The 13037-nt window shown below is 44.9% G+C and overlaps 1 protein-coding gene across 28 annotated transcripts in view; it reads left to right on the top strand.

Moving 5' to 3' along the window:
- PTPRA (protein tyrosine phosphatase receptor type A) overlaps window positions 1–13037 on the top strand; it is a 174486-nt gene that overhangs the window by 142002 nt on the left and 19447 nt on the right. For all 28 annotated transcript variants that reach the window (NR_170936.1, NM_002836.4, NM_001388321.1 and 25 more), the window contains 3 exons: window positions 1159–1235; window positions 9664–9700; window positions 11631–11728. Coding sequence is in view for 27 of the 28 variants with exons in the window: in NM_002836.4 (NP_002827.1) it covers window positions 1159–1235; window positions 9664–9700; window positions 11631–11728 (212 nt within the window). In the remaining variant the exon portion in view is untranslated. The remainder of the gene's footprint in view (window positions 1–1158; window positions 1236–9663; window positions 9701–11630; window positions 11729–13037) is intronic.

The following is a 13037-nucleotide window of genomic DNA, read 5'->3' on the forward strand; positions in this document are numbered from 1 at the left end:
TTTTAAATTTTTTATTTCATTTATTTTTTTAGAGACAGGGCCACCCAAGCTGGGGTGCAATGATGTGATCATAGATATGTATCCTCGAATTCCTGGGCTCAAGTAATCCTCCTGCCACAGCCTGCTGAGTAACTAGAACTACAGGTGCATCTACCATGCCTGGCTGATTATTTTTTAGACACAGGGTCTTGCTGTGTTACCCAGCCTGGTCTCAAACTCTTGGCCTCAAGCAGTCCTCCCACTTTGACCTCCCAAAGAATTGGGATTACGTGCATGAGCCACCACATCTAGACCCTAAAAATTTTATATTTCAGGGTATATCATACATTAGCATATGTGCATAATTTATCAATAAATGAGCATGTATTAGAGATGCCTGCTCACATTTTTATAAGTGAAGTATGGAACCAAAAAATTAGGACCACTACACTATGCATTTACAGATACTTTTGTCTTTTTCTTTTTTCTTTCTCGCTCTGTCACCCAGGCTGGAGTGCAGTGGCACGATCTTGGCTCACTGCAGGCTCTACCTCCTGGGTTCAAGCCATTTTCCTGCTTCAGCCTCCCAAGTAGCTGGGACTACCTATAGGCACATGCCACCACACCCAGCTAATTTTGTATTTTTAGTAGAGACGGAGTTTCACCATGTTGGCCAGGCTGGTCTGGAACTCCTGACCTCAAGTGATGCACCGCCTCTGCCTCCTGAAGTGCTAGGATTATAGGCGTGACCCACCATGCTCGGCCTTGTCTTCTTATTTATGTGCACATGTTGGAGGAGGGGGATGTGTGTATGTGTGTGGGTGTGGGTATGTGTATATATAATACATATTTTTTAATATGATTGGTATACTGTACACATTTCTCTCTTTTAATAGTATATATTGTCAGTTCATCTGTCAAGAAACTTTCTTTTTTCTCAACTACTTAGTATTCCACATTGTAGATGCATCTTAATTTATTTAACTAGTCCCCTAATGATACTTAAGGTATTCCCAATTTTTTGCTGTTATACTGTTGGAGTTATATTGTTGGAGTGGCATCTTTATACAAGCGTGAGTCTGTGCACATAGGCACAGATGTCTCAACTGTCCTGGTTGCGTCAGGTTCTGTGAGAAATAAATTTTGATTTTACTGAAATATTGTTGGTTTGTTTCCTAGATGACCACTCTAGAGTCCACCTGACACCGGTTGAAGGGGTTCCAGATTCTGATTACATCAATGCTTCATTCATCAACGTAAGGATCGGGTGCTTTCCCTGTCACTTCCCTGCCTGACCATTGCCACTATCTGTTGGCTCCTCCCCAGCTGTGTGTTAGGAGAAATATTTGTCATTTCATGTTTTCCCTGACAAGTCTGGTTTTTTTAAGTGACTGAATTTTTTTTTAAGGTCAGTCAAATAGTTTTAATCATTTTCTATATTTACCCTGTCGTCATTCCCTATGGTTTCCCATGTAGAAATCTGTGTCTAAATATGTATTTTGTGATAAGAGTCAGTGAATCCTTTATTGAGCTGATTCTAATTACAAACAAAAGCAGGCCTTGCCCTCAACAGTAAAAATAAGGGAGAACAGGACAAGAATACCTGACATGACACCAGCTATATTATATATGTGTGTGTATGTATATATGTGTGTGTGTGTGTCTGTGTGTGTGTATATATATATATATATGACTATCTGGTTAGCCATATATGAACCAAGGCCTGAGGGAAGAGCTGATACTAAGAGGAGGTTTTTAAAGATGATTTAGAGAATGTTTATAGAACAGTCTGTATGAGAGATTTGAGGTTTTTGTTTGGTTGGTTTTGTCTTTGGCAGTAGCCTGAAAAAACACATAAAGAGTTAAGAATATGTTTTATAGGTTTGGGGGAAGCATCCTGTAGAGAGAGTGAATTTGAACAGAAAAAAGAGAGAGGGAAAGCTGGCAAAAGCAAGTCTGACTCCTGATGCAAAATGCATGAGAAGACTGGATAAAATTTCCACTTGCATGTTTATAGCAGCATTAATCCTAAAAGCCAGGTGGGAGCACTCCAAGTGTCCATTGACGGATGAGTGAATAAATTAAATGTGGTACATGCATACAGTGGAATGTTATTCAGCCTTTAAAAGGAAGGAAATTCTAATACATGCTACAACATGGATGAACCTGGAAGACATCATGGTAAGTGAAATAAGCCAGTCACAAAAGGACAAATATTGTATGATTCTACATATAGAATATAAACTATATATACATATGTAGAGTAGTCAAATTCACAGGGACAGAAAGTAGAATAGTGGTTGCTGGGGGAGGGAGGAATGAGGAGTGGGTACAGAGTTTCATCTGGGGAAGATGAAAAAGTTCTGTAGACGGATGGTGGTGATGGTTGCACGACAGCGTGAATATACTTAATGCTACAGAACTGTACACTTAAAATGGCTAAAATCAGCCGGGCACGGTGGCACACCTGTAATCTCAGCACTTTGGGAGGCCAAGGCGGTGGATCACTTGAGGTCAGAAGTTTGAGACCAGCCTGACCAAGATGGTGAAACCTCATCTCTACTAAAAAAAAAAAAAAAACAAAAAAAAAAAAAACAACTTAGCCGGGCGTGGTGGCAGGCGCCTGTAATCCCAGCTACTTGGGAGATTGAGGCAGAGAATTGCTTGAACCCGGGAGGCGGAGGTTGCAGTGAGCCGAGATGGCGCCACTGCACTCCAGCCTGGGCGACAGGGTGAGACTGTCTCAAAAAAAAAGAAGAGTCAAAATGGCTAAAATCGTAAATTTTATGTTGTATTTTACCACAAGAAAAAAAAAGGACACTGATGGAGAGATTAGTGTGAACATAAGAAGGGCTGTTTCTTCCTCTGAGAGTGAAGATAAAGGAGAGGACAGAATGGATAGAGACGACTCGTAGGTGTGGGTAAAGCAAGTTGAGGCAACTCACCCGTGTGCTCATGGTTGTGTACTGAACAAATGAGATGGGACTGTGACATGAGAGCTTCGAAAGTTTAGAACAGCTTCTGAGGTCCCTGAGAAAAGGATACCAAAGAGAGAAAGCAAAGGACATGTCTAGTGGGATGTCATTGATGGGGGTGGGGGGTGCTGAGTTGTGTGATTTTTTTTTTCTTCATCTGCACCCTGGGATTGGTGGTAAATGCAGAGGACATGTGGTACTCAGACAAAAGGGAAGGTCAGTGGCTGCTTCAAGTAGTCAGCCAAGGGCTTCAGTTTCAGTAGAAAAGAAAAGCGTTAGGAAGTTGTTAGGAATAAACAACTATTCCTAAGGTGGTAGGATTGAGGAACTGGAGATCTTGAGAAAGTGAAAGAACAGGAGGTTGTGTCCAAAAAATAGGCTATTAGATGGACTTCAAAAATGGGGCAGTCCGGGCATTCTCACTGGAGTGAATTTGCTGAAGTTCCTGTATGTATGTTTAACATTAATGGTTACATGTTTGTAGTTTTAAGGAAAGGGACCCTGACTAGACAAATAATTGTTGTAGTCGATAAGGAAAATGGAGAAAGGCTAGTAATCAGCAGGAATTCCTAGAACTTACATCGAAGATCATGATGAAGAGATTAGGTGGAATAGGTTGACTTTAATGTTATGCAGAAGAGAAGAGCAAGATCAGTTAGTGTGTCCAGCTGCGGGTAAGAGAATACTCAACTAAAAGTTGTCTAGATGGGAACATTTTTTTTTTTTCTGGAGACAGTCTCACCCCGACACCCAGGCTGGATTGCACTGGTACGATCTTGGCTTACTACGACCTCTGCCTCCCGGGCTCAAGCGATTCTCATGCCTTAGCCTCCCTAGTAGCCAGGATTACAGACATGTGCCACCATGCCCAGCTAATTTTTTGTATTTTTAGTAGAGACGGTGTTTTGCTATGCTGGCCAGGCTGGTCTTGAACTCTGAGCCTCAAGTGATCCACCTGCCTCTGCCTCCCAAAGTGCTGGGATTACAGGCGTGAGCCACCGTGCCCAGCTGGAACATTTATTTGTCTCATATACTGTGAAAGCAAATGGAGACCAGTTCTTGAGTTGGCTGATTCCATGGGTCAGTGACATACTTACAAAACCAGGTGCTTCCATCTTTCTACTCAGTTATCCTTAGCCCTGTCAACAGTCTCATGGCCACAAGATGGCTGCAGCAGTCCCAAGCATTCCTCATAAACACAGCATCCAGCCGGGTGCGGTGGCTCACGCCTGTAATCCCAGCACTTTGGGAGGCCGAGGCGGGCGGATCACAAGGTCAGGAGATCGAGACCATCCTGGCTAACACGGTGAAACCCCGTCTCTACTAAAAATACAAAAAATTAGTCGGGCGTGGTGGCGGGCACCTGTAGTCCCAGCTACTTGGGAGGCTGAGGCAGGAGAACGGCGTGAACCTGGGAGGCGGAGCTTGCAGTGAGCCGAGATCACGCCACCGCACTCCAGCCTGGGCGACAGAGCGAGACTCTGTCTCAAAAAAAATAAATAAATAAAAAATAAAAAAAATAAACACAGCATCCAGCACAGAAGAGGAACATATCTGCCTATGCTTTTCTCTCTGTTAGGGAGCAAGGCTTTTCACGGAATCCTCCCCACCACCCTGTCCTCAGGACCAGCAGGCCAGGATTGGATCACATGTTCACATCCCTCTCTAATCACTGGCTAGGACATTGAGAATGATCATGATTTACCCCTCTGAGCCTGGGGAATGGGCACCTTCCAAGCCAGTGAAAGGTTAATGTCCAAACAAAATTGTGGCTCTAATGGCAAAGAAGAAAGGGAGGAATGGATTTGAGTTAGTAACCAGCAGCATCTGCCACCGTAACCAGTTTGGTCCCTTCCCACATTGAAGGTGAAAACTGACAAAAGTTAATTGTATGTTAAGGCTGTTAAGCAGCTGAGATGGGGATCTCTTCATGGTAATGGCACAGTAGAAAGAAACAGCCTTATCCCTTGACCATGTTTATTTAGAGCTTACACTAGGGCATTCCATAATGCCTTGATGGTTATTAGACAGTTATTAGTAGGCAGAGTTTACATGAAGAGGGTTAAATGGGGGACCTTATGAACTCAGTGAAGGAACAAAAGCAGGGAAAAACCTGTGGTTAACCATAAGTGGGAAGCAGGGATTAAAGATTTGGATTTCACAGTTTATTAAACTCAGTCAACATTTTTTGAGCACCTGCTGTGTGCCAAGCACTGTGGGTAGGCTTAAAGGTTACAGAGGTAAGATGTAATCCCTCATATACTACACAGGTAGTTAGGTTGTTTCCTGTAATGTGCTACGTGTGCAAAGGAGGTATTGCCAGGTTCTGTGGAGTTATGAGAAAAAACATTCAGCCCAGCCTGGTAACCCAGTAGAGCTCATTATTGAAGAGTGAGTCAGAGTTCAGGAGAAGAAAGTTGGGCAGAAACTTCAAAGCAAAGGAGAAACATGAGCAAAGTCACAGAGACTAGAAACAGCAGTCTTAGGTTATAAGGTATAAGATGGGAAGTGGTGGGAAATGAGACTTGATCTTGAAAGGTAGTGGATGTCAAGTGTGTCCATTGGAGTTCTTACTTGCAGACTATAGAGTGTACTTTTCATCCACTCTTTTAAGCAGAAAGGGGTTTATTATAAGATACTGGGTACCTTAACAAAACCTGGGGAAGAGCCAGTGAGCCAAGCTCAGATGCTGCTCAGCAAAGAGCAGAGCAGCTATAGATCTATGCAGCATGTGACTGTCATAGTGAAACCTCTGCACAGTGCTGCAGAAGAACTGGATGCTTCTACTACCGTGCTTGCCCAAAGACCAGATTTCTAGCACAGTCGTTATCTCATGTTGCTCATTTCTACCCCAAGTCTTGTGTGGGAGCATCTGCTAGGAAGAAGCTAGGTCTCGTGGATTGCTGAGCTGCTAGGGAGTCTGGGAAATGTAGCTGTAAGATAGTCAAGCTAGAAGGGAGCAGGAGTGGGTACTAAGTGAACCACCTAATAGTGTCTGCCAGTTTTCAGTACAGCTGAGCGGTTTTGATGAATTTATCTAGGCCGTGGGGTACCATTGAAAAGTGTTCAAGGCAGGGAGTAGTGTGACCACATTTACATATTGATCACTGGGGCTATCATGTACAACATGGATTTAGGAGGGGCCAATTGGGGGCTATTGCAATAGCAGGTAGATCACAAATGATGAGGGTTGACAAGGAAGCGGCGACAAAGTGAAAACTACGTGGAGGTAGAATTTAGCAGGAATTGGTGGTTGATTTATATATGAGAGAGTAGAGGGTGATATATCCATGTAGATGTATCCAGCATACAGTTGGTCATATCTAGAGCTGTGGACTTGGAAGTAATAAAGGAGTGGGCCAAGAACAGAGCCCTTGGGCCCACAGCCCCTGCCAGGCACATTGAACAGGTGCTCATGGGTGAGATGGAAGGAGACCAAGAGAAGAGAGCATCTGAGAAGGCAAAGATAAAGCATGGCTCAGGAAGTGTTTGGCAGTGAAGAGGGTTATGTGCAGATTAGAGATCAGTGGGAAAGAGGAACAGATTTTCTTTGGACTTAGTGTGTAGGGCAGCATCCTTTGCTGAAGCAAATTCAGAGGCCGTTTGTTGCATCCTTTTTGTGGGCTGCTAGTTAACACTTATCAAACCCTTTTTTTCCCCTAACATTGAGGTATAATATATATAACATAAAATTCACCCATTTTAAGTGAGAATTCAGTGATTTTTTGGTAAGTTTACCAAGTTATGCAGCCATCACCATAAATGTCTTAGAACATTTTCTAACAACTTTATTGAGATGTAATTCAAATACCATGTATTTCACCCAGAGTTTACAATTCAGTGTTTTTTTAAGTATATTCACATATAACTGCAGCCCATCACCAATTTTAGAACATTGTCATCCCCTCAAAAGAAGAACCTTACACTCTAGCTGTTGCCCCCTTAGTTTTAGAACACATTGCTCACCCCAAAAAGAACCTCAGTGTCTAAATACAATTAATCTCCATTCTCACCCCCCGGCCATCACTTAACTTTTTGCGTAGAGAACTGAGACCACACACATGGATCTTGAAGGGAACTAGGCACCATGGAGTAGTGGTGAAAGGCCTAGGAAAGTGGGGTCTGTAGTTTGGGAAACACATAGGTCAGCTAACCTAACACTGTTCACAGGAGGAGATGAAACAGAGGCAGTGGCACAGTTGGCAGGTGGGCTTCCAGCCTAGAGCCTTAGGAGAAACCAGTTTCCTTACTCATTTTTAGATGTCTAAGAATATATAGGATTTTTTTTTTTTTTTGAGACGGAATTTCACTCTTGTTGCCCAGGCTGGAGTGCAATGGCGCGATCTCACTACAACCTCTGCATCCGGGGTTCAAGCAATTCTCCTGCCTCAGCCTCCCAAGTAGCTGAGATTACAGGCATGCACCACCACACCTGCTAATTTTGTATTTTTAGTAGAGATGGGGTTTCTCCATGTTGGTCATGCTGGCCTCAAACTCCCTACCTCAGGTGATCTGCCCACCTCGGCCTCCCAAAGTGTTGGGATTAGAGGCATGAGCCACCGCGCCCAGCCTAGAATATATAGGATCTTTAGACGTGTTTCTTTTTAGAGGTAGGAATGTAGCTACCACCTAGAGCCCACTGAGATTCAGCTTTCAGAATCTAGAGACATCTCAGGAGCCAGGGAGCCACATTTCATCTTTCCCTTGAACAGAACACAAGATCAGTGGCTTTGCTTCATTCTCATTACTCTGTATTAGTTAAGCAGTGCCGCCACATCACTGTACAAGCATGTTTTCAGGAAGGCATATGACGCACTCCTGGTAAGATGGGGCAGGAAGCACTTTGGGGCTGGGCCTTCCAACCAGGTGTTCAGGCTGTTCAGGGCCCGCATGCTGCAATGAGAATTTAGCAGTGACTCCTCATGGAGCAGGAATATGATGCGCTTAACGTATTCTTAAGGACTTCTCAGTTTTAATTATAAGTTTAGTAATATAAGCAGAATTTAACATCCAGAATTAAGGCTATTTCCATTTCCATTCTCTAATAAATAAAAACATTTGTTGAAACTTAAATTGCTCTTCTCAATGAAAACTTTAACAAGTCTTTTGTTGCTGACTAAACATATCCATCTCTGAGGCCTAAAGCTTTCTCCTTCTGTGTTGGGCAGCAACCCTGCCCTGCCCTTGTTTGAACTGAAATTGAAAGTGGCTCCTCAGACCAGGCACGGTGGCTCACACCTGTAATCCCAGTACTTTGGGAGGCCAAGGTGGGCGGATCATCTGAGTTCAGGAATTCGAGAGCAGCGTGGCCAACATGGTGAAACCCCATCTCTAATTTTTGTAAAAATACAAAAATTAGCCGGCCGTGATGGCTCATGCTTGTGATCCCAGCTCCTTGGGAAGCTGAGGCAGGAGAATCACTTGAACCCGGGAGCAGAAGGTTGCCGTGAGCCAAGATCGCACCACTGCACTCCAGCCTGGGTGACAGAGCAAGACTCCGTCTCAAAAAAAAAAAGAAAGTGGCTCCTCAGATTTAGGCCACTTCTTATATTTGGCCACTGCCTTGCAGCCTTGTAGTTCACATTGCCACCCTGGTGTTGGTGTGACATGGTGTCCCATCCCTGAAGCTGCCTCCCTTGTTACTCACCTTATTGCTGTCTGAGAAAGGAAATGGGTGATTCACAATCCTTAAATCAAGTGGCTTTCTCTTACCTAGAACTTCTGAATTGAACATACATTTAAACAATGACGTTGAAAAGATGTATAACTGGAGCAATAAAGACTGAAAAAGAAAGCTGCGGCCAGTTGTTAGTTTTTCCGAGGCTCCTTATCTGTTGAGTGGCACCCCAGGCTCCCTTGCTCTTGTCCCCCACTGCCTGTGATAGAGAAGCCTCTTGTTAAACACTGGGAGCTACTTCACCACACTCACAGGCTATTCCCAGAAAGATTTTGCACCTGGGTAAAGCATCCTTGAGAAAATAACCTGTTTTCTTTCCCAGAGTGAACCCAGCTTCATCCCTGGAACCACCACATATGCTTTTCCCCTGGTGGGTTCTTAACCTGTTAACACTGAAATCTACATTGTTAGCTGCTGATAAAGCATCAGAAACATGGTCTAATCTGGGAGTCAGTATTTGGATTTCTTTTTTCTTTCTTTCTTTTTCTTTTTTTTTTTTTTTTGGAGATGGAGTCTTGCTCTGTCACCAAGGCTGGAGTGCAGTGGCGCAATCTTGGCTTGGCTCAGTGCAACCTCCACCTCCCAGGTTCAAGCAATTCTCTTGCCTTAGCCACCCTAGTAGCTGGAATTACAGGAGTGCACCACCACGCCCGGCTAATTTTTGTATTTTAGTAGAGATGGGGTTTCACCATGTTGGCCCCATGCTCTCACACTCTTGACCTTAGATGATCCGCCCACCTTGGCCTCTCAAAGTTCTGGGATTACAGGTGTGAGCTACCACGCCTGGCCTGGATTTCTTATTCTAGTATTTATTAATAATTCAATTTGAGAAGACTACCTAGACTATTTGAGTTTTGTAATCTCTAATTCCTAGCTCTAAAGCTAATCCCTTGTGAATATCTAGACTGGAAATCCCCGTTAAGTACCTGCACATTTTCAGGTTTTGTTAACTGGTTGGAGTCAGACTGGAGAATTTCATTTCTATTCATTTTTGGTTTTCTCTTTCTTTTTCTTTCCTTCCCCACACCCCAGGGCTACCAAGAAAAGAACAAATTCATTGCTGCACAAGGTAAAGTAATGACAACTTTTTTCTGTTAGATTTAACCATGATCACATAATGGGTTTGGTTTTTTTCTCCCAAATGCTGAGTGGATTAACCAGAATGCTGTAGCTTTTCTGTACTTTTTACCACCTGAAAGAATTATAATCCATTATACAGGTTTACAGCTAACAGCCTTCATCTTGATGACTTAGTATCCAGGGATCCATTAAAAGAAGTCTTTTTGTGTATGTATATTAAAAAGACTGGAAAAGGCTGTATACACAAAACACAGTCTAATAAGGCCCTCTGTCCTTGGGGCTAGTTAACCTTAGGTTCCAGCCAGGCTGCTCAGAGTTTGAATTAGGAATCAGTTTCCAGAGAGGATCAGCCACCTCACAGGGTCCAGGCTGGTTCTCCCCCAGCTCATGGGCCTGAGCCTCACCATTATTCACAGATAGTTGGTCTAGGAACCCTCAGATCAGGGACCCAGCACCATGTCCTTTATGTGTTCTACACACATTTCCAGGCCTGCTGTTCTAACAACTGTCTTCACTCTTTGAACCCTAGCAAAAATATCTGGATGTTTGCAGCATTAAAAAGTAATTGAGGCCGGGCAGGGTGGCTCATGCCTGTAATCCTAACACTTTGGGAGGCCAAGACAGGAGGATCGTTTGAGCCCAGGAGTTCAAGATCAGCCTGGGCAACATAGTGAAACCCCGTCTCTACTAAAAATTAGCCAGGCGTGGTGGCACACACCTGTGATCCCAGCTACTTGGGAGGCTGAGGCACAAGAATCACATGAACCCGGGAGCCAGAGGTTGCAGTGAGCTGAGATTGCACTACTGTACTCCAGCCTGGGTGACAGAGTGAGACTTTGTCTCAAGAAAAAGAGTCATTAGGGACTACAAGATTTATAAAAACAAAGTTCTCCTCCCTTTTCTTTTCACTTTTTTAGTCTAATGCCCCTGGGGCAACCATTTTTATCTATTGGCTTCTTATGATAGATGACATCATCTGATCCCCTTACAGAGCACCTCCCCCTCAGTCAGACAGACGTGTACCCACATATCCTCCCCATTCTCCCAGAAGAGTCAAATCACAATTTGGGGTTAAGGTATTTATTATTATTATGAGTTTACAAATATTCACAGCCGAAACACACAGTATTATGTTATTTTTTGTATAGTTTTTTTCCCCCTTCTTTTTTAGTCATTGTGTTTTTTATATACCTACTACTGATTTTCCTCCCAAACTCTTTACCAGAAGTATATATCTTCTCTCAGTACCTTTAGATACATGAGGTTTAATTTTTTTATCTTGGGATCCTTCTAGAATCTTCTTTCTTCAGTTGCATTGTGGATTGGTTGCTCTCTATCCTCTGGCAGAGTTATCATTCTAAGACCAGTACCCTGGGAATTCCGTTAGCCTCTCTGCTGTGTTGGATCTCATTTATTTTCCTCTGTTTGCCTCTCATTTTTGTTTAGAATTTTCTAGTGACTTTCCGAAAAAGGTTATATGGGAGGTAAATTTTGAATTCTAGCCTGAACAAGTCATCCAACCTTTCTGGGGCTGATGACACCCACCTCAGAGCATAATAGGAAGGAGTAAATGCCATATGAAGCACTTAGCTCACTGTCAGGTCCATAATGTAGGTATTCTGTGAGCAGTCATGATTTCTAATTCCCAACTGTAATATCCTTGGGAGACATCATTCGTGTTCTGTTTATATTTTTGACAGCCTTCCACCCAGCCCCATCCTTGTGCAGTGCCTGGCACATACATGGTAGAAACATGGAAAATACTCAATTAGTAACGGGGTGGATGGATACATGGGTTAGATATTTAGCTGGGGACATTTGGGCACAAGCTTCCAAAAGTCAGGAATGGATGTTCCCAGCCTCCCAGCATCTTTCTTCTTGGTGTATATTCTCTTCATTTTTGCTGTTGGCTACTTTAGGACCAAAAGAAGAAACGGTGAATGATTTCTGGCGGATGATCTGGGAACAAAACACAGCCACCATCGTCATGGTTACCAACCTGAAGGAGAGAAAGGAGGTAAGTGGAAAAATTGGATGTGAACAGCAGAAGGATCACTCTGCATATAAGCTCTGAGTTTAAGCCTGGCTGTCTATCCTTTGTGGGTGCTGTACCAGTAGTTCATCCAGAAAGACACAGGCTGAAGTCTATCAGACTTTGCTATGGCCTGGAAGCCCCAGATATGAACCTCAGGTGTGTGCCTAGAGCACATTCCCTGTATTTGGTAGTCAAACAACTCACCCTGGTTCCAGAACAGCCTGAAAGAGACTGACTTGGGCCATCAGCTAAGGAAAAGCCACAGAGGGGTTTTTTTTGTTGTTGTTTTGTTTTGTTTTGTTTTGTTTTTTTATTGATCATTCTTGGGTGTTTCTCATAGAGGGGGATTTGGCAGGGTCACAGGACAATAGTGGAGGGAAGGTCAGCAGATAAACAAGTGAACAAAGGTCTCTGGTTTTCCTAGGCAGAGGACCCTGCGGCCTTCTGCAGTGTTTGTGTCCCTGGGTACTTGAGATTAGGGAGTGGTGATGACTCTTAACGAGCCTGCTGCCTTCAAGCATCTGTTTAACAAAGCACATCTTGCACCGCCCTTAATCCATTCAACCCTGAGTGGATACAGCACATGTTTCAGAGAGCACAGGGTTGGGGGTAAGGTCACAGATCTACAGGATCCCAAGGCAGAAGATTTTTTCTTAGTATAGAACAAAATGAAAAGTCTCCCATGTCTACTTCTTTCCACACAGACACGGCAACCATCCGATTTCTCAATCTTTTCCCCACCTTTCCCCCCTTTCTATTCCACAAAACCGCCATTGTCATCATGGCCCGTTCTCAATGAGCTGCTGGGCACACCTCCCAGACGGGGTGGTGGCCGGGCAGAGGGGCTCCTCACTTCCCAGTAGGGGCGGCCGGGCAGAGGCGCCCCTCACCTCCCGGACAGGGCGGCTGGCCGGGCGGGGGGCTGATCCCCCCACCTCCCTCCCGGACGGGGTGGCTGGCCGGGCAGAGGGGCTCCTCACTTCCCAGTAGGGGCGGCCGGGCAGAGGCGCCCCTCACCTCCCGGACGGGGCGGCTGGCCGGGCAGGGGGCTGATCCCCCAACCTCCCTCCCGGACAGGGCAGCTGGCCGGGCGGGGGGGCTGACCCCCCCACCTCCCGGACGGGGCGGCTGGCCGGGCAGAGGGGCTCCTCACTTCCCAGTAGGGGCGGCCGGGCAGAGGCGCCCCTCACCTCCTGGACGGGGCGGCTGGCCGGGCGGGGGGCTGATCCCCCAACCTCCCTCCCGGACGGGGCGGCCGGCCGGGCGTGGGGCTGACCCCCCCACCTCCCTC

This window comes from Homo sapiens, chromosome 20, assembly GCF_000001405.40.
Source record: "Homo sapiens chromosome 20, GRCh38.p14 Primary Assembly".
Taxonomy (NCBI): domain Eukaryota; kingdom Metazoa; phylum Chordata; class Mammalia; order Primates; family Hominidae; genus Homo; species Homo sapiens.